General features: G+C 33.9%; 1 protein-coding gene and 1 non-coding gene across 12 annotated transcripts in view; both read right to left on the bottom strand.

The window, feature by feature from the left end:
* CADM2 (cell adhesion molecule 2) overlaps nucleotides 1-25,566 on the bottom strand; it is a 1,115,441-nt gene that overhangs the window by 684,963 nt on the left and 404,912 nt on the right. The gene's annotated exons all lie outside the window — the stretch shown is intronic.
* Nucleotides 3,675-3,757, bottom strand: MIR5688 (microRNA 5688). The gene has a single exon (NR_049870.1). It is a non-coding gene; the product is annotated as a microRNA 5688 (primary transcript).

Here is a 25,566-nt window from a genome sequence, read left to right as displayed (position 1 = left end):
AGCTAGCTCATTATCAACAGCTATACGGGCCACTTCCTAGATGTCTTGTAACTCCAATGTCATGTTTTCCTCATATTTTCTGCAACTGCTAGTCTCCTTTAAAATGAAGACAATTATTTAATTACTCAATGCTGTTCAGCATTTTCCATACTACTTGTTACACTATTTATGGCATAATATTTTTGGTACAATTATACTCACCAGCATCCCCTTTTACTTCCTTTTGATTTAAGAGTACTTCACTAAGCAAAATTGTGGGTGCAAAGTGGGCCTTCTAGAACTACTTTTGAGTGACCATTCTATTCAATTACTCTATGGCGCCATAGAAATGCACATAAGTGACATATGCCCAGGAGAAGGCATCACAAAACGTTACTTTAAATAAGGGTGAATGTACAGACTTTGTTTTAAATATAACCCAATAAGATACCCACAATGTCCTGGAAACCCTAGCTCTCTCCGATCATAGGAGAGAGGATTTCGGAATTTCCATTTATCCAATACCCCCAGATGGTCTAGATTAAGTGCTTTCATTAAAATATATTTTGTTTTTTAGATGGTAACTTTCTGTAAGATCTATCTAACACATCTTAGATATCATAATGTGTACAGGGGAAAAATTACTTCATACCTTTCAAAAATAAACCAGATGGATGAATATGATTTTTCTGTGTTTTTTTTTAATGGTGGAGGTGGGTAGGTTGTCAATTTTGTTTTAATTGATGGTTCTCTCTTTTCCTCCTTAATTGGCCAGAATTTCCTGGCTATGGTAAGTCTGGACTAGCTAAAACATTAATCATTCTAGCATATGTTGTTCCTCATAATCAGAGCTTGTGTATCCCACACATTGCACTGCTTCCCTTGGTTTTGTGAAAAAAATTAAAATGAGGAGTATTGCCATATCAAGAAGATGACATATATATAAAATACATACGTACATTCATACATAAACAGACACACACATATGTAGCTGTTTCTGAAAACATGATTTTTTAATGTACAAAATCACAGTTTTGCAAGCTTCAACAATTGTGAAAATAAACTAGTAACCCGCTTCTTTCCTGAAGGAGATAAAATGTTCCAAGAGAAACCACATGGCCAAACATATTATTGTGACGAATCCCAGGCCAAACAATTAATTCTCATCCTCTCTGCCAAAGTCTCCTATGATTTCTTTTCTTCTTTCCTCCATCATCAACAAACAGTTATTGGCAGGAGTCCAAGACCATTCTGGGCAACTTGGTGAGACCTCATCTCTACAAAAAATAAAATTGGCCAGGCATGGTGCTATGCTCCTGTAGTCCCAGCTACTTGAGAGGCTGAGGCGGGAGTATCGCTCGAGCCCAGGAGGTCGAGGCTGCAGTAGGTTGTGATGGCACCACTGCAATGCAGCCTGGTTCCCTGGAGAGCCAGTTAACTAAACATTTGCCTGTACATTATTGGACTTATGTCAGGGTCTCTAAGAAAATAATCTATTCTATTCTGAGAGCAGCTTCTTTTATGCAGATAATCTAACTTAAAAACATCAGTTGTTTCTTCAGCAACTAAAGATGAGAATTAAAGCAAAGGAACTATATTTAGATTCTTTATGGTGCTATAGAACTTGGGTGCTATAGGACTTGAGTGCTATAGCTAGGCTTCCATCTTTAAATTTCTGTGTCCATAAATCACAATTACTAAGAAATGTAATCGTATTGAAAAAATGATCACACATTAAATTATGTAATCATTTAGAATACTACTAAATAATACTACATATATTTCAAAATAATAGCAAATCTATGCAAATATTAAAATCTGAAATCTGAAATTAGTATATTTCATATATAAAACCGCATTAAAATATAGAACCAGTTAATATAAATTTTCCATTTCAGAGAACTGCCTGCAGAAAGTTATACAAGAGTTCAGTGTTTTATCCACTCTGTTGTTTATTTGTCAGTATCAGGATTTTAAAAAAAGACCTATCTACATCAATACATATTTGCCACTTGAAAATAAAATGAACACCAACTTTAGCTAAATAAAAGGCATGCAACTCTGTTCAATAGTGATAGGATTGTGTTTCTAGGTAGCAAAAAGAAGGAAAGTAAACAATTTAACAGAATTAATGAGATGTATAACTTTACATTGTATTTACACTAACTCGTATTTGCTTATTTTTTCTAAATTATCTATTTAAAAAATTTCCAGTGAATATCCCATGCAAAACAGAAGTTAATTATATGAATGATTTAGGGGGAAAAATTACTTTTCCAAACACCTACACTAAATATAGTGTAATGGGCATGGTCTGTAGCCTGACCAGCTTTCCATCCCTTTTTGCTACTTTCAACAAAACTTTAATTTGTGTACCTTTTCCCCCAGCGGCTCCATGAGACAAATTCTCTCCTAACTCCCAGAGTATTCCTTACTCAGAGAGATTGCTTTAGGAACCCAGACTGAGCCAGGAGGCTTAGCCTGCCTGTGGAACTGCTATTGTTTATATGGTGGGGTAAAGTTAGGGACAAGTAAATAAAGATACAACATACTGAAGGGAATGATTTTTATTCCACCTATGAGAATATTCCACATATGAGAAATGCCTGCCTTTCATACTGGATGCAAATGGGGAAACATGTTGTCCTGGGCTTTTCTGTGTTTTCTGGCAAATATGAAGATTTTCTCCCTCAAGTGTGTGCTCAATTCCTCCCTTCTCATTCTCACACTTTAGTAGTAATCCTTAACATGCAAAAGGTAGTATTCACGGTGTTTTCACTTACATTGTCTCTTTTAATTATCCTTCCAACCCTGGTAAGTATTTCAGTCTCTAGTCAACAAATACAAAAACTAACCCACAACAAGGTTTAAGTACTCTGCCCACAACACGCACACTGTCAGTGAGAAGCACAGCCCAGGTTTGAAATTCTGTTTTTATATTCTAGCTGGAGCAAGCATCCCACATGGACAAGGATGAACCAAGAATTTGGGTCTTCAGACAACCTGCTAGTTTAGGAATGGTCACTCAGAGGTCTCACCCTACTGCCTTAATTGTGAATTTCTTAGCTTGCTCAGTTGCCCTATCTAGTTGTTCTCCCCACCCAATTCCCATTCTCCAGTTTCAGGATGGGACCTGCTCTCCTTAATACTTTATACTTTCTTGTATTCTCTTTGCTAAGGTTGGACCACGTTCCCTACAATCTCTACCTATTTATAAATGGTTTATCAACTAAGTGCATATCTCTCAAAGTAACCACCACCAAAAATGACTTTCAAAATAATTAGCTACCTTGAATTTATACACAGGTATGAAATCACTCCTGAAACCTCCAGAGGCCTGTGGTCTCTGCTTACTGCAGCCTAGTGAGTACGATGGCAAGGATGCAAATAAAGTAGTATGTAGTTAGGGGAAAGCCGAGATTCCTTCAAACATAGCTTCTCACTTTGTTCTGCATGATTGTTCATATGGTACTTTGTTCTATATTTATTTGTTTTAAATATAATTGTTAATGCAAATTAGAATGTCTTCATTTATTCTTAAAACATGATATGAATGTAACATGCAAAATGAATATGTGTACTATGCTCAGTAGAAACTTTTTCAGAATAACATCCAATTTTATGTCAAAGCGAGAATGTTCAATTTATACAATCTTAAGGCATCTAGTTTCCAAAAAAAAAAAAAAAGAGAGAGAGAAACACTTTGCTGTTTTACAGGTGTTTGTTATGTTTCTATGTCCAAAACATAATAAACTCCTGTAAAAAGGCAAAGTGTTTCTCAAAGGGTATTTTCGGTTGAAAAAAAAAATCAATGTTGAACATAATTAAAAAAGAATATATTCTCTCTCCACTGAAAAAAAATAGGGATCACTCAAATAAATTGCTCTTAACAACATGAACCTGCCAAAACTCAATTCTTTCCTGTGCTATTATTTATTTGATAGATTTTACTACATCATAGCCCAACCTCATAAAACAAGGATGAATAAGTTATTTACCAAAACATATCCATGATTAAGTTTTATTTACTTGCAAAAGGCCATAGGACATGCATTTCTAAACATTAACAAATGAGCCATGTCTATGATTCTCTCCCCTACTATCAGTTAATCTATACATTTTCCCTCCCTGCTCACTCTCCTCCCAAACAACATATATTTTTTTCTGTTTTGAAAAATTCAGCATATCATTGTTTCTTTTCTTAACTGGTTAAGGGTTGCAAATGTAAATGAATAAAAAATAAACAGTGTGTCGCCTGGGCATGGTGGCTAACGCCTGTAATCCCAGAACTTTGGGAGGCTGAGGCAGGTGGATCACCTGAGGACAGGAGCTTGAGACCAGCCTGGACAACATGGCAAAACCCCATCTATACTAAATATACAAAAATTAGCAGGTGTGCTGGAGCGCACCTGTAGTCCCAGCTACTCAGGAAATTGAGGCAGGAGAATCACTTCAGCCTTGGAGGCGGCAGTGGCAGTGAGCCAAGATCACACCACTACACTCCAGCCTGGGCCACACAGTGAGACTCCATCTCAAGAAAATAAATAAATAAATAAATAATAAAGTAAACAAAGCTTTATTGGAGGATATAGGAAAACATTTATATATTTATATGCAATTGGGTATATAATCTTTCTTTTTTCCTGAAATAAAAGGTCAATAAATTCCAGTAATTTGAAATTTAAAGCTTTTGTTTATAAAGGTTTATCAAAGGTTGCAGTATAAAAAGAAAAGCCACATACCCATGGAAAATTATATAATTGTTATATATATATACACACACAAGTATACACTCACACACACACACACACACACATTTTTTTTGACAAAATATTACACAGAGAATAATAAGCTTCTGACCAATAAGAAAAGGAGGGCGGGCGCGGTGGCTGACGCCTGTAAACACAGCAGTTTGGGAGGCTGAGGCGGGCGGATCACCTGAAGTCAGGACTTTCAGAGGAGCCTGGCCAACATGGTGAAACCTCGTCTCTACTAAGAATACAAAAAAATTAGCCGGGCGTGGTGGCGGGTGTCTGTAATCCCAGCTACTTAGAAGGCTGAAGCGGGAGAATAGCTTGAACCCCGCAGGTGGAGGTTGCAGCAAGACGGTACCATTGCACTCCACCGTGGGCAACAAGAACAAAACTCCATCTTAAAAAAATAAAACAAAAAATAGAAGAAAAAAAAGAAAAATTTAACACCCAATGGTGAAAAATGCACACATGCATTTCAGCAGTGCATTCTATAAGATATATGGATACTCTCTACATAATCAGCAAAAAATATATAACAATGGGATGTCGTTTTTCTTTCTTCAGACAGGTACAGATTTAAAAGATACCATAACAAGAATATGCAAGAATGTAGAAGTAGAATATGCAACATTGGTGGAAGTGTAAACTGGTATTATTTCCTTGAAACCAATTTGAATTTTTCTGGCAAATTTGAATATTTGCAAATTATTTAATCCAGCAGTTTCATTCCTGGAAATTACTGCACATGTACAACATGATCATGAGATATTTATTAGTCTTTTCAGAGAAACACAGTTTTTAAAAGAAAAATACTTAGAAATAACTCAATTATTCATCAAAGAAGAAATGATAAATAGTGGTAAGTTATATTCATTAAACAAAATACTATATAGTGGTGGAAATCAACAAAGGAATGGAACTTTTTTGAAAACAAAATATCAAAGGAGGAACAGTGAGTATTGAAGAATGTATACAATATGAAATCATTTATATAAAATTTAAAATCATAAAAAGTTTAAATATATTGTATAAATAATGAAAAGAAAATAAATGATATAAAAATGTTCAAACGACTGGTTAACCTTGGGAGGAATGAGAATTCCAATGGAGAGAAAAATGAGGATAATTGAATGAAATGGTTAGTGGTCAGTTATTTAACTGGATGGTGGTAAATGTTTATATGTATATATATATGTATATATATATATATATATATACATATATATATATGGTTTTATGTATAAAGTATTATATTAACTTTTTTCCACAATCTTGTGTATGAAATGCTTAAAATATGACTGATATATTTCTAATTTTCTGATTTATCTAATTCAATTTATCTAATGAAATTATCTAATTTCATATTTTTGAAATTGTCTAATTTTAGCACTGTTAAAAGAAAACTTCAGACAAATTAACAGAGTTTAATTGAGCAAGACAAACAAAAAACAAACAAGAAAAACAATTCACGAATCAGGCAGTCTCCAGAGTCACAGCAGATTCAGAGAGACTCCAGGGATGCCTCATGGTCAGAGCAAACTTATACACAACAAAAGGAAAGTGACATACAGAAGATGGAAGTGAGATGCAGGAACAGCTGGATTGTTTACAGCTTGGAGGTTGCCTTATTTGAACACAGTTTGAACAGTCAGCAGTGTCTGAGTGGTTCAAGTATGGCTGCTGGGATTAGCTGAGACTCAGCTATTGTTACAGTAGTGTACTCCTAAGTTAGGTTTTCAGCATTGTCTACCTGCAAAGTTAGGTTACAGTTGGTCCACAAGGACTCAAATATGGAAGTACAGAGGCTTTCTCAGGCCATATTTAGTTTGATTTAACAGCACTCGTAAGTGTTGGCAGTTTTATTGATGTAGTTTTTCGATAAAATTTTTAAAGAATATGGTAGTATAATAAATTCACTATTTCTTCATTTTCTTTTAAAATTGTCAAATATTTGTTTCTGTCTCTATTGTATTATTATAGCTGAGTAACTAGTATATACCAATAATGTTGTAAAATATAAGATCATTTGAAAAGTTGTATTTTCCTTCAAATTTTAATTTTTAAGAGTGATCTGCATAGATTTGAGTATGTATTGTTATGCTCTAAGAAAATATTATATCTAATCAAAGAAGCAAATATCCTGGAATAATTATTAAACAGATGCAGTTAAAATAAATAACTTGTTTTGTTTGGCGAATAAGATGTTATATATGATGTATCAGGTAAATATGCGGTAATCATGAGTCAGGAAGCAGAATGAGTTAAGAAAGAAAACTGCTTTTAGACTATTAATAGGGCTTAATCCTTCACCTGGTATTGCTCTTAAAGTCCTTCTCCTGACTCCTATCCCATCCCTATCTAAGGAGCGTGCCCACTGCTTATTATCTAATATAACTCCCAGACTTCTCTCTACGCTTATTCTTTACACCTCATAGAGGCCTTTTTGTAGCATAGAGTTCTAGAACTATATAAGCACTTCTCTGCCAATACCTCCTTAGCCTAGAATGATCAGAATTTATTTTGAGTACAATTTATTCTGTTTATGTTTTTTTGCTTTTCTTATTGTTTTAGCTCATTTTATTTTTGTTTTATAAATAAAGAATTACCACTGCAGTAAGTCTCCAAGGATGTGTACAATTATACAATAATTATTTGATAGTCACACTGCAGTGTTTCAGAGTTGATTCTTTTTTCATAACTGATCACACCTAACTTTTTAGCACCAATTGTCATGACATTAAAAAAAAAAGGCTTGGTGAGTTTAAATAGCTACATGGAAGGGGCTTTCTGCTGATTAGAGTGATGATTCCTGAGAATGGTTTTTCTGAGCCTTTCTGACATACTGGCATGTCAGTGTGTCCTGCACTCTATAGCAATGAAGTTCTAGAGTGCAGGACAAACACAAGGCCAAAGGTAGAGACATCCTTACAACATCAGGCCCTTGGATGCTGAGGAGTCATCCCACATCCTGCAGCCCTGCTCAGGCTGGTGAAAGTTAAGATGACAGCTGAAACTGAGGAGCTCAATATTTTTAGGAGGTGGATAGTGTATAAACTCTAAAAATATACTTTATTATTATAATCATATCTTGCTGCAAGAAAACTTTTGGCAAAATGCTATGTGGCTTTTAATAAAAAAAAAAATAAGGAATGGCTACATATTAGAACCTGTTACTACAGTCTTAAAAATAAATTGCCAACAAAATCTTTATATATATATACTTTATATATATATTCTTTATATATACACTTTATATATATACTTTATATATACAGTTTATATATATATTTTCTTTATATATATATATATAAAGCAACATACATAATTCAAATTTATTGGCTTCATCCTTCTACCATCAGTATCAACTCTCAAGGGATCAGAAGTCAAAATTCCACAGATTCAGTACAAAAATGAAGTTTGTTTTTCATCAATTACATGTAATGCCTAACCAGCAGAAAACATAAGAATAAAGTTGATCATTATTCACAATATTGTTATTTTTATTCCAAAACCTGCAGAATGTGTTACTACGGAAATCAGCTCCAATCAGCCACATTTGTCTTTGCATGCTTTATATCACTTCTCTATATATGCAATACACACGTACATACACATACACACATATCCTATCTTCATATATCGGATAAAATACATGGGTATAAGTGGTTATTAGTAAATACTAGCTCTGTTAATTTAACGATTTCATAGCTACACTTTCTAACTTTGTGTTTCTCTTCTAAAATATCATTCGTAGTTGGAAGCTCATATTCTTCCCTTCTACTTTTAAGATTACATTAATACAATAAATAAAAATGTACTGTGTTGCTATTATGTGAAATTTATCTGTGCTATTTTAACTTCCTTTAATTAGTTAGAATCAAATCTATGATATACTTTTTACAGCTCCTTATGATTTTACTGTGATCTTAGTAATTATATTCTAAAAAAAGTAATTGATTATCTGAATCAAAAGAAAATAGGAAATGGAGGATATTTAGAATTGAGGAAACAAATTATTCACAAATATCTACACTTAATTTGGTATTAAAATATGAACATGTTACGGTTTACCTGGGTTTTTGTCATTTAATTGGATAAACATATTTGTGCTCTATTTCAAAAACAGAAGAAGAAAAAGTACACTTGAAAAAATAATACAAACATTGGCATTATTTCAAGTATATCATTGTATTTAAAAATATATTAATTGAAATTAACATTCTTAATAATTAAAAATTGGGTTCCACATTACATATGCATATCTTAATAGCTTCATATAATATGTATGTAAATTAACTTCTACACTCTAAGATTGTGTTAAAATGCTAGACACTGTTATTCTGAGTCCCATAAAATGTATTTTAGCCTTAAATTTACATGAACTATAAGGCAAAAAAAGCAACATTTATATATTGTGTATATAAAAAAATCTTATGATTACCTTTAGTATGCCATATTAACATTACCTTCAAAAGGTGTCACGATTCTAAATCATTGGTATTGGATCAGCTGGCTCTTTTCCTTTGCTTCCTATTTTTTGTGGGTTTCAGGAAATATTTTATGCTCTTAACTTGAATACTGCTGAAAGGTGTAATTAACATTTAATAATCTATATTAATATGCATGCGATAACCAAGATGATTTATGTAGTACGGGGAAGAAATTTCAACTCTACTCTTTGAAAAGATATCAAACTCTTTGCTTGTCATTGGACATGTTTTTCAGAAATACTCATGCAGACTTTGTCAAAGTCATTGAAAAACAGAAATGTTTGCTAAAGCTTTCTTGCGTAGAATGTGCATTTTTCAAAAGATGTCAGACAATAAGCTGGGTCAGAGGAAATAATGAAAGCTGAATGTGGCATCAACTCCAGTTATAGAATAAAAGCCACTGTTTTAGTCTTTATAGTGCAACAGTTGCGAGTAATACAAAATGAATTTAATGGAGCACCAAAATGTAACAACTTGAATAAAATGTATTTTTGTTGATGAAAAAAGGAAACAATCTTGTGGGTCACAATTACTTGATCCTGTGAATTCAGATCCCTTTGAAGGGTACAATATTGATTTGTGGAGTGTCTTGTTATTACTGAAGGCTATTCTCTTTACTGGGATGCTTTTCCCTTGCAAAAAGAAATTAGATTATACAGCTGATATCATTAAAGCAAGAGGAAAATTGCATTAAAATGCAATGTTTGGAGAGTTGAACATGAAAGTCAAAGAGTTTGCCTCCCTCATGTAAATTTCTCAAGCCTAAAAACCAGTCTCAGAATGAACTCAGATCAGCTTCTAAAGGGAAATGAAACACCTGACCTTTACTTTCAAAGTTCTTTTTCTTTATTTACTTAGAAAACTATAAAACATTTATTTTTACCTTCATCTAAACTCTACAGTTTAAAACAAATAGCATTACACTTACAGAATTGAATTACTTTAAAAAGAAGTTTTGGATGCATCCAAAACTATTGAAGATGACGAATTTCAGTATAATTTTTAGCTGTCATGTTTTCTACTTGGAAACACTTAAGCAATCATCATGAAATTATGATCAACATAAATGAGTTTACAATGGTAATATTTTTGTTGCTTTTGGATATTCAATCCACCTCATATTATTATGAGAAGTTACTAACCCACGGTGCTTGATTTACCTAATGTAAACTTTAGCCATTCATCTTATTGCATCTTATTATCTTCACTAGTAATAGCTCTAAAATACCATCTTATGATACATTACATATACTACATTGATGGTTGCTTCTAATAAATACTAGTCAATACGATTTATTTCTTGAAAATAACTGAGTTTATTTGGGTTTTTGTCACTTTATTTTTATAATTTATTTTATTTTACTTTATTGCAATAATTTTATGGGGAACAGGTAGCGTTTCATTTCATAGATAAGTTTTTTAATGGTGATTTCTGAGATTTTGGTGGATCTGTCAGCCAAGCAGTGTACACTGTACCAAATATGTAGTCTTTTATCCCTCACCCCTCTCCCACCCTTTCCCTCAAGTCCCCAGAGTTCATTGTCTTTTAGAACAGAATGAAAGTAAAAAGAGAACTTCCCTCTCATACTCAGTTTTCTTCATTTTCGCTGAGAAATGTGAATATTCATTCAAGGGTATACATAAAGAATACCTACTACTTTGTAGCAGGCATCATTCTAAGTACTGAAGATTCAGCAATGAACAAGATAAATAGATTTGGTTTGTCCTCATGCAGCTTACTGTCTCTCACCCACCAACGAAACTAAACACATAAATGATGCAAAGTACTACGTAGAGTGCTGAAATAGTTATCAGTAGGAGCAGCAGGCTTTAGAAAAGACAAGGGTGGAAGATCTCTCTGAAGAAGAAAAAGACACTGAGGTGGAAAGAGAGCCTCCTGCAGGAACAAAATAAAGATATTTAGGTGCCAAACATTTTGCGTCCTTGAGGAAGATAAATATACGAGTGGCTTAAGCACAGAACAGAGTGATGAGGGCTACGATAGACAGAGACCTGGTCCAAGTAAGATCTTATACTTCATATTAAAAAGCACAGATTTTGTTTTGAGGACAAAAGAAAACCATTCAAATTTTTAGGACTATTGGTGTGAATGAAGATTTTTCCAATTTAAATTTTAAAGTATTTTACATTGTGGTTCACAATGATAGAAAATATTTCTAATATAATTTCATGAAAACTAGCTGCAAAAAAAATGATTCCTGAAAAATTTAGGAAATATTACCATACTATTCATTTAGACAGTCACAATATTCATTACTATCTTAGCTACAAAGCTATCATGTACTGCCAAAAACTGTTTAAACTTTCACTCAAATTCTCAAATAAATCTGACATCGAATTTTGATTTTCTGATGGTAATTCGCATCGCTCCCTGGGCCCACATTTTGGAAGATGTATTTTGTGGAAAAAACAGACTAGTGTCATTCAAGTGTGCTACCTCATTGTAATTGTCTTGCTTTATTTCAAAACTCCTGTAGCTATTAACTTTAACTTTTAAAAATGTGTTTTCATTATAAAAATGTGCCTTATGTTCATTAGTCAGTATACACCTATAAAGGTCACACCCTAATGCAATAAACTGTTTTAAAGCAGAAATGAGATAATTTCTTCATAAGCTGTATTATATTTCATGTTTCCATTGGGCAACTTTGACATTAAATATGGATAAACTAATGGTTTTCCTAAGGATGTCCAGTATTAGAATGTTAGAATGATTTTAATGAGACCCCATCAGCAGGATAGGTTTACCTGTGAGGTTGTCCATGTGAAGTGCATATAAATCCTGGAGCATTACCTATGAATTTAAATCAGAAAGCTCATCAACTTCCGTTGGCAAGGTGAAAGATAAAAGCCACAGAAGGTCCTTCCCAGCCTCTGTCACTAATGATAAACAGCATTAACTGCTTCTGTAGACACTAATTCCGCTATCTTGGGAACACAGGCAGCTACCATGAGAACTTTACAGCTTCACTAATCATACTTTTGTTTGTCACAAAGCACAAAATAAAACCTCAACAAAGAAGCAATAAATATTAGCATTTATGAACAAAAGAAGGTCGCATAAATATGTATATTGCTAAATAGGCAATGCATTCTTCATTAACCAACTATCATGTTCATTAGTATAAGCTCTTATTACAAGGAAAGAAAAGAAACAAAATAAGAGCAAATTTAATGTAAACTAGGTCAGATTCTGTTATGTAGGAAGCATTTTCCATGTAAAGATCTGATGAATTTAATAAATGTTTTAATGTTGTGAAGTACTTATTTGCTTAAAGGAATTTTCAGTAGATATTAATATTTTGATCCATGATATTTAAAACACAATCTTTTATTTTAGTTCATTGAAAACCGTTATCTTTCTGGCATTGTATTAATATGTTAAATCAAATATTCCCTTAAAAGCCTTTTTTTCATTTTAAAAGCAAAATTACTCAATTGTATAAACTTTAAAATGTTGCTTATGAAGTCCAAATAGCATGAGTTGTAATTTTGATATTTAAAATGGGATAGCCAAACAATGATCTCCTTTAAAAATATTATCAGGATGTCGCATTAGTGAACTAAGAAAACATCAGCAAGTTCCAAATAAATAGTAAACCATCATGTGTATCCATTTTTCAGAATACACATGCTTATTTTTGTAATATTCAGTTTATTTTTCATCCATTAAAGCATTACTACTAAATTTTTAGTTGCTTGAATACTTTCTATTAGTTTCAATGGCTTAGTTTTAAGAGCTTTTCTTTTTTATATTACATTCTTAACATGGTGTACTCTAATTTTTCCTCCTTTGCTACATTTCCAATGAGATTAATAAAATGATGTTTCAAGTAGTTTAAATTAATCAACCTATTAGTTAACTCTGCAGCTAATTATACAAAAGCCTTCTCTCACTGTCCCTGCTGTGAGGTTGTATTAAAAATTTGCAGTATTACTTCAGTTATTAAATCCCATTGGGATATAGTTAGTAATGTTATGTTAAAACTCAAGTGCAGTTTGGTAACATGCATGTAATTTAGAGAGGTGTATGACAAAACACAGTTTGCCTTTTAAGAGTACTCCTAAAACACAAAACAATTTACTTTAGAGGATCTAGAGTCCAAGGAACTTGGGTGTTCTTTGACAATGATTAGTTTTATTATCTGTTAAATTGATAATAATAGTACTTATTTCATATTGTTGCTGTAAAGATTAAATTACATAATGCATATTAAATGCTTAGCATAAAAACTGATCATATGTATCCAGTGACTATTAGTTATTAGGTTTACTTAGGTACCCTTAAATGTGGTTATTAAAATGTAAACAATAACAAGGGATTAATCACAAATACATTTATTCTCTAGTGCAAATATAATATACTGTACAAATGACCCTCAATTGTCTGAACAAAATGGTATTGAAGTGTTTATAGTGGGAAGGGGCTAATAATTATTTGGAGAAATAATTGGGAACCAAGTCATGAAAATATTCATATAAATCAATGGAAGAGAACACTTTGTACATTAATTTTTAATACACAAGAAATCAGTTGAACTGGCCTCTGATTCAAAATGTGTTCGTTTGTTCGTGTTGGCATTTTCAAGTTTTGTTTTCTGTTCTTTCAGTTCCTTCTTGGAAGCTGGGAAGACAGTGAATTTGTCTTTACTGGGAAGGAAGACAAACTGAGCAGGAACAGCTTCTAAGCAAACTTTTTTACATACTTGTAATAATTTCCAAGTGAAATTACTGCATCAAAATTTCAAGGTTATTTTGATTATTTATTTATAAATTGACTTCCAGAAGCATTGATACAGTCAGGGTTTCCCTGGGACCTCAGGCTACAGCCAATTATCAACACCTCTACAATTCTTGTCTGTGTTTAGGCTCCTTCTTGAGAGATAGGAAGAAAAAGTGAAATTGTGCAGTGGAAAGAAATTTAATTGGAATCAAATAGATTTGGCTTCAAAGCCTAACTCTATTATCATATAGTGGTATCAATTTGGCATAGTATTCCACTTCTCGAACTTGAATTTTCTCTCCTTGAAAATGTGGATAATATACCTGTTATTACCTTGCAGATGCCCAAATCTTCTATATAAAGCATAAAACATAGTTATGTAGTGTATAGGAAAATATGTATTAAATCACATATTTAGCAATCTGTAACTGACACACAGTAATCTCCTATAATAAATTTTGTTGAATAAATGATTGAAGTGTGTGTGTGTGATTTTCTTTTTCTTTTTTCTTTTTTTCCTGAGCAACCATCAAAAGTCTAGAAAGTAATGAAGTAGAAATAGGTATTTAGCACTGATATGGTTTCGCTGTGTCCCCACCCAAATCTCATCTTGAACTGTAGCTCCTCAAATCCCCATGTGTCATGGGAGGAACCTGGTGGGAGACAATTGAATCATTGGAGTGGGTTTTTCCCTTGCTGTTCTGCTGAGAGTGAATAAGTCTCACAAGATCTGATGGTTTTATAAAAGGTAGTTTTTCTGCACATGCTGTCTTGCCTGCCGCCATGTAAGATTGACTTTTCTCCTCCCTTGCCTTCCACCATGAGTGTGAGGCCTCCCCAGTCATGTGAAACTGTGAGTCCATTAAACCTCTTTTACTTTATAGATTACCCAGTCTGAGGTATTTCTTCACAGCAGTATAAAAATGAACTAATACAGTAAATTGTTACCGGTAGATGGGGTACTGCCATTATGATACCCAGAAACGTGGAAGTGACTTTGGAACTGAGTACCAAACAGAGGTTGGAGGGCTCAGAAGAAAACAGCTAGACAAGGGAAAGTTTGGAGCATCCTACAGACTTGTTGAATGTTTTGAGGCTGAGGTGGTCTCAGATAGAGATGAGAAACTTATTGGGAACTGCAGGAAAGGTGACTCTTGCTATGCTTTGGCAAAGAGATTGGAAGCATTTGCCCCAGCCCTAGAGACCTGTGGAACTTGGAATTTGAGAGAGATGATTTAGGGTATCTGGCAGAATAAATTCCTAAGCAGTAAATCATTCAAGATGTGACTTGGCTGCTCCTAAAAGCATTCACATTTTATTAACTTATAAAGATATGGTTTGGTATTGGAACTTATGTTTAAAAGGGAAGCAGAGCATAAAACTTTGGAAGATTTGCAGCCTGATGATGCAATAGAAAAAAAAAACATTTTCTGAGGAGAAATCAAGTTTGCTACAGACATTTTAATAAGTAATGAGGAGCCAAATGTTATCACCAAGGTAATGGGGAAAATGTCTACAGGGCATGACAGAGGTCTTCACAGCAGCCCCTCCCATCCCAAGTCAGGAGGCTTAGGAGGCCTAGGAGGAAAAAAAATGGGTTTCATGGCCCAGGCCCAGGGCATTGCTGCTTTGTACAGTCTGGGGACTTGGTTCTCTGTGTGGCAGCTGTGGCTGAAAGGGGCCAACATACAGCTTAGGCTGTTGCTTCAAAGGGTGCAGGCCCTACACCTTGGCAGCTTACATTTGGTGTTGGGCCTGCAGGTGCATAGAAGTCAAGAATTGAGGTTTGGGAACTTCCACTTACATTTCAGAGGATGTATGGAAATGCCTAGATGTCCAGGCAGAGGTGTGCTGCAGGGGTGGAACCCTCATGGAGAACCTCTGCTAGGGCATTTTGGAAGGAAAATGTGGGGTCAGAGACCCCACACAGACTCTCCACTGAGTCACTGCCTAGTGGAGCTGTGAGAAGAGGGCCACCCCAGAATGGTAGATCCACCCAAAGCTTGCACTGTGTTCCTGGAAAAGCAGCAGACACTCAACATCAGCCTGTGAAAGCAGCCAGGAGGGGAACTATACCCTGTAAAGTCATAGGGTCAGAGCTGCCCAAGACCATGGGAACCCACCCCTTGCATCAGTGTGACCTGGATGTGTGACATGGAGTCAAAGGAGATCATTCTGGAGCTTTAAGATTTGACTGGTGCACTAAATTTCCGATTTCCTTGGGGCCTGTAGCCTATTGATTTTGGCCAATTTATCCCATTTGGAATGGGTGTATTTACCAATGCCTGTAGCCCCATCGTATCTAGAAAATAATTTACCTGCTTTTGATTTTACACGCTCATTAGTTGCCTTGTAACAGAGGATACTTTGGGCTGTGGACTTTTGAGTTAATGCTGAAATGAGTCGAGACTTTGGGGTACTTTTGGGAAGCCATGATTGGTTTTGAAATGTGAAGACATGGGATTTGGGAGGGGCCAAGACCAGAATGATATGGTTTGGCTGTGTCTCCACCCAAATCTCATCTTGAATTGCAGCTCCCATAATCCCCATGTGTCCACGGGAGAGACCTGGTGTGAGGTAATAGAATCATGGGGGTAGGTTTCTCCCATGCTGTTCTCATGATAGTAAATAAGTCTCATGAGTTCTGATGGTTTTATGAAGGGCAATTCCCCTGCACACGCAGTCTTCCCTTCCACCGTGTAAGACATGCCTTTGCTCCTCCTTTACCTTCTGCCATGATTTTGAGGCCTCCCCAGTCATGTGAAACTGTGAGTTCATTAAATCTCTTTTCTTTATAAATTACCCAGTCTTGGGTATTTTTTCATAGCAGTATGAAAAGAGACTAATACAAGCAAAATACTGAATTTCTAGTATTAGGACCCAAAATATCTGAACATCATAAATGTGGGCCAGAGGGGTATAACACAGTCTAAATTAATTGCCCTCTACCTAGTTAAAATTGTTTCTAGATGACCTTGTAAATTGGGTGTGGATAACTATAAAGAATATATAAATAAAATTCATACATTTTGATCTCATATATATACATATATACACATATATACATATATACACACATATATACATATATATACATATACATATATCTATATATACACACACACATATATATATACACACACACACATATATATATATATAAATTTCATCTAGACATCTTTGCTTTTGACATTCCTTTTGGACAAACATATATTCTCTTAATCCTTCTGATTTTACTGTTTTTTAATTAAAAACACTTCTTTCCATTCATGAGGTGTATATTGTCAAAATATATTTGGGTTCATTTAAAATCAAATTTTTCTTAAATATCTTGGAGGGTTTCAGTGGTGATTTTCTTTAGGACTACTTTATGGCACCAATTTTTCTTCAGCAAAAGGACACTTGAGCAGTTTGTCAAACACCGATGTAATAAAGTCAGCAGATTATCTAGGCACTTTTCTATGCCTCTTTAAAATAATATTATTTCATATCTCCACAGATTAGAGGAGACAGAGAGAACAAAAAACTTAGTTGAACAAATATGTTTACATTTTCACAAGATCTACCAAGTCTAAGTTTTTACATATACAGTTCTCCTTCACAGTATACAGGAGGGATGGGTTCCAGGACTCCATAACTCATACCAAAATCAGACTCAAATTCTGCAGTCAGCCCTCTGGAACCCAAGTATACAAAAAGTTAGCCTTCCATATATGCAGATTTGGCATCCTGTAAATACTGTATTTTAGATCCAGGTTTGGTTAAAAAAATCCACTTGTAAGTGAATATATATATATATATATATATATATATATATATATACACACACACACACACATATATATATATCCCCATGCACACACACACACACACACACACAGTGATGTGTGGCTTAATATTATGATGAAGATAGGTTCTGAAAATTGCATACTTAAGCACCTTTGTTCTTGTTCTTGTGTAAAGACCATAGAGTGTACTTACCTAAGCCTAGATGGTATAGCCTACTGCACACCTAGGCTGTATGGTGTAACCTATTACTTTTAGGGTACAAACATGTACAGAATGTTATTGCACTGACTGCTGTAGGTAGTTGCAGCACAATGGTATTTGTGTATCTAAACATATGTAAACATAGAAGAGGTACAGTGAAAATATAGTGCAATGGATTAAAAATTGTACCTCTGTAGAGTACTGACTTGCCACAAATAGTGTTTGCAGGACTGGAAGCTTCTCTGGGTGTGTCAGTGACTGAGTGGTGAGTGAATGTGAAGAACTTGGACATTATGGTATGCTTCTGTAGACTTTAGAAACAGTGTAAACTTAGGTTACACTAAATTTATATAAAAAATTTTCTATCTTTAATAATAAATTAATCTTAGCTGATTGTAACGTTTTTACTTTATAAACTTTTTATGCTTTTAGAATTTTTTTGACTTTTTTCTACCATTTTACTTATAACACAACACGTTATACACCTGTATAAAATACAAAACTTTTTTAAAAAAATTCTTATTCTGTAAGCTTATTTCTATCGACAATTTTTGTTTCATTTTGTTTTGATTTTTTAAACTCTTTTGTTAAAAACAAAGACACAAACACACACGTTAGCCCAGTTCTCTGCAGGGTCGACATCATCAGCATCACTTCTTTCTAACTCCATATTTTGTCCCAGTGGAAAGTCTTCAGGGGCAATAACATGCATGGGGCTGTTATCTTCTATGATAACAATCTCTTCTTCTGGAACACCTCCTGAAGGCCCTGCCTCAGGCTGTTTTACAGTAATTAATGTTATAAGTAGAAGAAATACATTCAAAAATAATGATTAGAAGCATAGTATAGTAAATACATAACCAATAACATAGTTGTTTACTATCATCACCAAGTCCTATGCACTGTACATAATTGTATATGCCATACTTTATATAACTGCAGACACAGTAGGTTTGTTTTCATTGGCATCAACACAAACATGTGAGTAATGCATTGTGCTATTACTTTATGACAGGTATGACAGCACTAGGCAATAGGAATTTTTTAGCTCCATTATATTTTAGTTCAATTTTCTTTTATTTTATTTTGAGACAGAGTCTCACTCTGTCACCCAGGTTGCAGTGCAGTGGCGCGATCTTGGCTCAATGCCACCTCCCCCTCCCGCGGTCAAGCAATTCTCCTGCCTCAGCCTTTGGAGTAGCTGGGATTACAGGCGCCCCCGCCACCACACCAAGTTATTTTTTAAAATTTTATTATTATTATTATTATTATTATTATTATTATTATTATTATTTTGAAAAGGAGTTTCGTTCTTGTGTCCCAGGCTGGATTGCAATGGCGCTATCTCAGCTGACTGCAACCTCTCCCTCCCGGTTTCAAGCGATTCTCCTGCCTCAGCCTCCTGAGTAGTTGGGATTACAGGCACTTGCCACTATTCTCAGCTAATTTTTGTATTTTTAGTAGACACGGGGTTTTTGACATTCCTTTTGGATAAACATATCTTCTCTTTTAATCCTTCTGATTTTGCTGTTTTTTTTAATTAAAAACATCTCTTTCCATTCATGAAGTGTATATTGTCAAAACATATTTGGGTTCATTTAAAATCAAATTTTTCTTAAATATCTTGGAGGGTTTCAGTGGTAATTTTCTTTAGGACTGCTGTGTGGCATCAATTTTTCTTCAGCAAAGGGACACTTGAGCAGTTGGTTGAACACTGATGTAATAAAGTCAGCAGATTATCTAGGCACTTTTCTATGCCTCTTTAAAATAATACTATTTAATACCTCCATAGATTAGAGGAAACAGAGAGAACAAAAAACTTTTAGTTGAACAAACATGTTTACATTTTCACAAGATCTACCATGTCTAAGTTTTTACATACACAGTTCTCCTTCACAGTATACAGGAGGGATGGGTTCTCCATGTTGGTCAGGCTGGTCTCGAACTCCCGACCTCAGGTGATTCCACCCGCCTCAGCCTCCCAAAGTGCTGGGATTACAGGCATGAGCCACTGAGCCCAGCCGAAATTTTGTATTTTCAGTAGAGATGGGGTTTCGCCATGTTGGCCAAGCTGGTCTCAAACTCCTGACCTCAGGTGATCCGCCCAACTCGGTCTCCTGAACTTTTGGGATTACAGGCGTGAGCCACTGCACCGGGCCTCATTATAATCTTCTGGGACCACCATCATATATGTAGTCATGATATGTCATTGACTGAAATGTTATGTGATGCATGATTGTGTGTGCAAAAATACTGTTTTAATAAAAACTACATGAGCACTGTGGTACAATTCGCCATCATTAATCCTTGAAAATCTTACCCTTATTTATTATATACAGAATTTCACTGCAATAAGTTACTGTTTAATTGGAAATAAGATTTTAAAGGAATTCTTAATTCCTCCAATAATGTATTTAATCTTAACAAGAACTCATTACCAGTAAACGTTTTAGAAGGAAGACATAAGAAGAAAGAAATCACTTCTGGAAATGCTATTTCTATACATTAGATTTTTTAATTTTCTCCAAGATAAAGTACAACAGTCATCTGATTTTGGCCTAGTCTCTTTATCCTGATGGAGTTGGACTGGCAATAGGGATTGTACTACATCCTCAACCAGTGGATAATGTAAGCAATGAGACAGAATAGGGTGCAATGAGACAGAACAGGGTACAATTAGTTGTGTTTAAATGGGGAGCAAACAATGAGTGATGACATTCTCTTTTCTATTCTTCTGTTTACATTTAAATGTTACACAAAAATAGTTAGAAACGTATTATTTTTCCTGCCAGGATAAAATATATTATTATGCCTGAAGAGAGACATACAGTAATTTTTTAAAACTTACATTTCTAGAAGATATTTGTGTTTTAAAATATGTGAAGAAGGGTAAATAAATCTAGGTTTTACATTGCTTGATACTTTTTCAGGTATATATATATATTCAGGTATATATATATTCAGGTATATATTAATATATATTAATATTCATGTATATATATACACACATATGAATCTCATCAACCTCATCATCTCCTCTCTCTGATACCAACTGCTTATGCTATTACCATGGAAAAATTAAGAATTGACTGCAATGAAATATCTGGAAATAATATTGGCCCACGCAATGCTTAGCCCACTCCCCTCTAATCATTTACGTGTATAATGGCTAAAACACCACTTTCAACACTGTCATTTTTTGCTTTTTCTTGTAACTATTGTTGAAGATAAAATTAGATCATCAGAAGGTAGTGGTCTGTGAAGGATACAATGTCTCTCTATCAAGGTTGAACAATAGTTAGTGATGTATCATCCAGAGCCTTGAAACTGAAAAGTTATAAGTATTCAAGGGCTCTGGTCAAACACAAAATTCAATTAATAATAGCCTTGGTAACTGGAAAAATTATTGGAAAGATATCTTTGCTAAGGGGCCATAAAAAGTACCAAAATTAATTTTTGTGTGTAATAAATTAGTGTTTTTTCTTCAGTTATTTCTTCTACGTTGTAGTCTAAACATCCCCCAAGATTGAAATGAGAATATACTATTCCAATTCTTACCATACTTTTGAGAAGGTCATATTGTCAGTTTCAAGTCATCTCTAACTGCAGATTCCTGATTCTCAGCTGTATCTGCGTGTCTAATTATGTGGTACACACACACACACACACACACACATATATATGTATATATATATATGTACTAGAAACTTTGAACACATGATGATGGTGAACAAAGACAGGTATATTACTTTTATTTTGGCATCACTCCTTTTCATTTCAAGTCATAGGGATGAAAATGGGCAAAAGTAGGCAATAGTAGCATTGTATGCCTGTACGGTGCTGACTTTAGAAATATATACGGGAAGCACTTCATATTATGTCAATTCTTTTTCTAATTTCCATAGCACTTAAGCATTTAATTAACCCATTAAGTAAATATTTAATGACCTCTTATTTTGTGTCAGGCATTTTCCTGGGAATGAATAATATAATGGGAAATACACATGGTCACCACTCAAGGACTTTTTGATCTTAAGACTCCAAGCAGTGAACGGCAATTGCAAAATAATGTCTTAATATTGTGGAAGCACATAGAGAGGGTGATTTATCTAGCCTTGGTATTATTGCATTTCTAAGTAAAATTCTGTAGCCCAGGAGGCTGGATTCTATTTCGTTTGCATTCCTTCTGTATTTAACAGTAGTGTCAGATAGGTACAAAATAAATATTTATGGAACTGAAAAAGACATTTTACTTGTGTGTTGGTTAGCAATAAATAAATGTTGACTTAGGTTTATATAAGTTTAGATTTATATTAATGGTTTTTCAAATAACATGCTACTAAAATTATTTCATCAGAGGGTATATGAATATTAAAATATATTATCAATTTTGATATTATATATCAAAACCGATAATTAATTGGACACATCAATTTATGGTATGTTTTTATTCTTTGACACAGAAATATTTGAGAAATATTTATTTGAGAAATCAGTTAAAATACATTTCAGAACACTATGCAAGAAAAAGCCAATGACATAGCTGTGTTAACTAATAATTTTTAATTTAGTTGATTCAATGTTCATTTCAAATAAGAGCACTAATAGAAGATTAAAACTATTTTCTTCATACCTCTATCATTATATATGCTATTTGGTAAAAATCAAATATTCAGTAATGAATACAAAGAAACATAAAAGATTGACATAAAATTATACAGTGAGAATATTAATTAAAAATTATATGTCATTCATTGAGTGACAGATTTAGTATTTTAGATTTCGGCATTAATATTAAAATTGTTTCTTAAAAAACAGGTATTTCAAGTCATTTAAAACAAATGCTACTAGAAAGTTAGTTTATTAATTTTGTTCATGTTAATTATTATACAAGCACTTAGAGTCTTATTTATGCAATATTGTGACTTCTCCCCTGTGGTTAAATTTTTCCTGATAAAAGCCTTAAAAATCTCTCCTTTCAAAGATTATAAATGAAAAATTACCACAAATAACAAGCCTCACAAAACAACATTCTGACTGCATTGTCATATTTATTATAAAACACTTGGTTCACTGCATTTTGGCATTTTATACAACTGCTTCTGACAGTGATTAACATGGTTTGGGCTTCTGCAGTTTCACCCAAGAGAAATAAAACACCAAAATCTCCGCAGGTGTGTAATGGGCCAGAGATTTACAATCTGTTCTGCATAGTCAGACTTCAAAGACTTAAAAAATCCTAAAGTTGGCAATGCCTCAATCATCACTTTTATTTAAGGTATTTTTCCATATTTCAAAAGACACTCTGTGGCTATTTGCAAAAATTATATCTCTAATTTGACTTCTGTGCAGGTCTTTCAGAAGCTAATTTTCATGATACATCTGCACATTCCAGATGAACAGACAGCACCTATGTAAAGCAGCAAACTAAATCATTAAGTATTTACTTGTACTTCTAAGAAGACTTCACTTACTTGAAGTATGTTGCATCACTTAACTGATGCTAAGGAGTAGTTGGGAAGTACCAAGGTAATTACTAAATGACAATCAGACAGCAGCACCTGGGCTATGGCAGCCCCAGGACAAGTGCTCATAATTGCTTCCATGATTGCGTGGTGTGAACCTAATATAAAACTTGCCCAATTAGGGTCAGAATGCACATGATAATTTCAATTATAGGAATGTTCATCTTCCTGAGAGCTTCTCACAGAGGAAAAAGTTCAATTTTTAAATGTGAGAATTTACACATTTTAGTGGATATTCAGGTCTGTCTGCATGTGTGCTTGAAATAGAGTGAAAATTACTCCATTTTAAAATAATTTTTCATTTATGTATTTTAAGTGTCATCTCTGTAGCCTACCTTTCTACAGGTAAATGAACAACTAACAAACAACACAGAGGCTTGTCATTTTAATGATATGACATACATAAAAAATCAGGAGTGGATTACTTTCTTTAAACTTGAATTCTGTCCATGCATTTCAGTGAAAGCACCCAGTAATCTCTCTGTCAACCAAGGCTATTACTAACAGAAATAAAATAAATTGAATAATGGGCCAATATTTTTAGTCAATTTAACCACCAAAGGTTTTGATTGCTATAATATTTTGCCCGAAGTATAGTTCTCTTTACTTCAAGTACGTTTGTTGAAAATTGTCAAGGTCATAGATGCACACATTAACTGTATCAGTCAGGGTGGCAAAGAGAAAAGCCCTCTTCCATTACAGCTGATTGCAGCCTTCATTTTAATGTGCCTCATCATCTCATCAACCTTGTTTTAAACAGGGAATTATCTAAAAAAAAAAAAAAAGTAAAAAAAAAAAAAAACCCTCCCAATTCTTGACCCACCAAGAATGTCTAGGTAGTATAATTTTTTTAAATAGAAAAACCTTCATCATACAAAATATTTTTAAAGCTTTGTCTTTTTAAATATTGTGAATAAAAATAAAGCATTCATTCATAAAAACTATTGATTAAGAACATAAAAGATCTAATTGCAAATATGCTAACCATGTTTGCATTAGGATGTGAAAAATAACATCGTGCCATTTTCCAATGCTATAGAATCTTAAACTTATTTCTCATTCATTTCTTCTAGTTTATTGTTGTTGTTGTTGTTGTTGTTGTTGTTGTTGTTGTTGTAGGAACAAGCATATGATCCAGAACAAGCATCAGAACCACAAGGGTATGTTCCTTGGCGTCGTTTCCTGACCGAAGTTATTGCATCTGTCTGCCAGGATGCTTTAGCAAGTTTCAATCAATAATGTTAACCTGAAGCCAGCATTGACCTAACTGAACTTGAACCCACTGTAACATTGTATTACAAAGATTGGGGGCTGTAGTAATTCATTGCTTTAAAGTGAAAAAATAGATCATTTTAGATTTATAAAAAGCCATAATTTATGTAGTGATGCTAATTTTGAGGTATGATGTGCTTTAATCTCTCATTCTGCTTGCCATTCTGTGACAGAAATGCTGAAGCCCTCTGAAGGTTACAAACAATGTTCACTAATAACGAGCTCTTATGTCCTTGTAGGTTTCACTTTGATGGATATCTATAGTGTTTCCCTGTGACATAATTCTACTGAGGAAAAACACCTCTTGAAAACCCAGCTTGTACTTTCACCTTCAAATATAACAGGCGTGAGTTTTAACAGAAATGTAAACTAAAAATGAGAAATAAATGCACATTTTTGTCATAGTTCTGTTGTCATTTCTATGGTACTGCCAGATTTAATTGGTAAAAATAAACATGCTATAGAAATAAAAATTGATATAGTAGAGTGCTTTCTGTGGAGTAGATACTCTTAAAAACCATTCATTTAGCCATAAAACGGCAATATCACTCTAATGAGACAAAGACAGCATGTGCTTTAAAAATATATTTTAATAGAGCCTTAACATAAATAAGTCTCTCTTTTGATGTCCATTTTAGTGGAGGGGTTATAGCTAGGCCCCAAAACAGTTTTAACATTTTCTAGCATTACCTGTTGTTACATATTATAATGATAAGGTAATGCAGAATGAACACAACCAGAGACATAAAATATGAAGTCTCTCTCAAATGCTTCTACTGTCTACATAAAGATGTCAAATCAAGGCCGGGCGC

The sequence above is a fragment of the Homo sapiens genome, chromosome 3 (assembly GCF_000001405.40).
Source record: "Homo sapiens chromosome 3, GRCh38.p14 Primary Assembly".
Lineage (NCBI taxonomy): Eukaryota > Metazoa > Chordata > Mammalia > Primates > Hominidae > Homo > Homo sapiens.
Note: the sequence above shows the minus strand (reverse complement) of the source record. Positions and strands in the feature narration are given on the sequence as shown.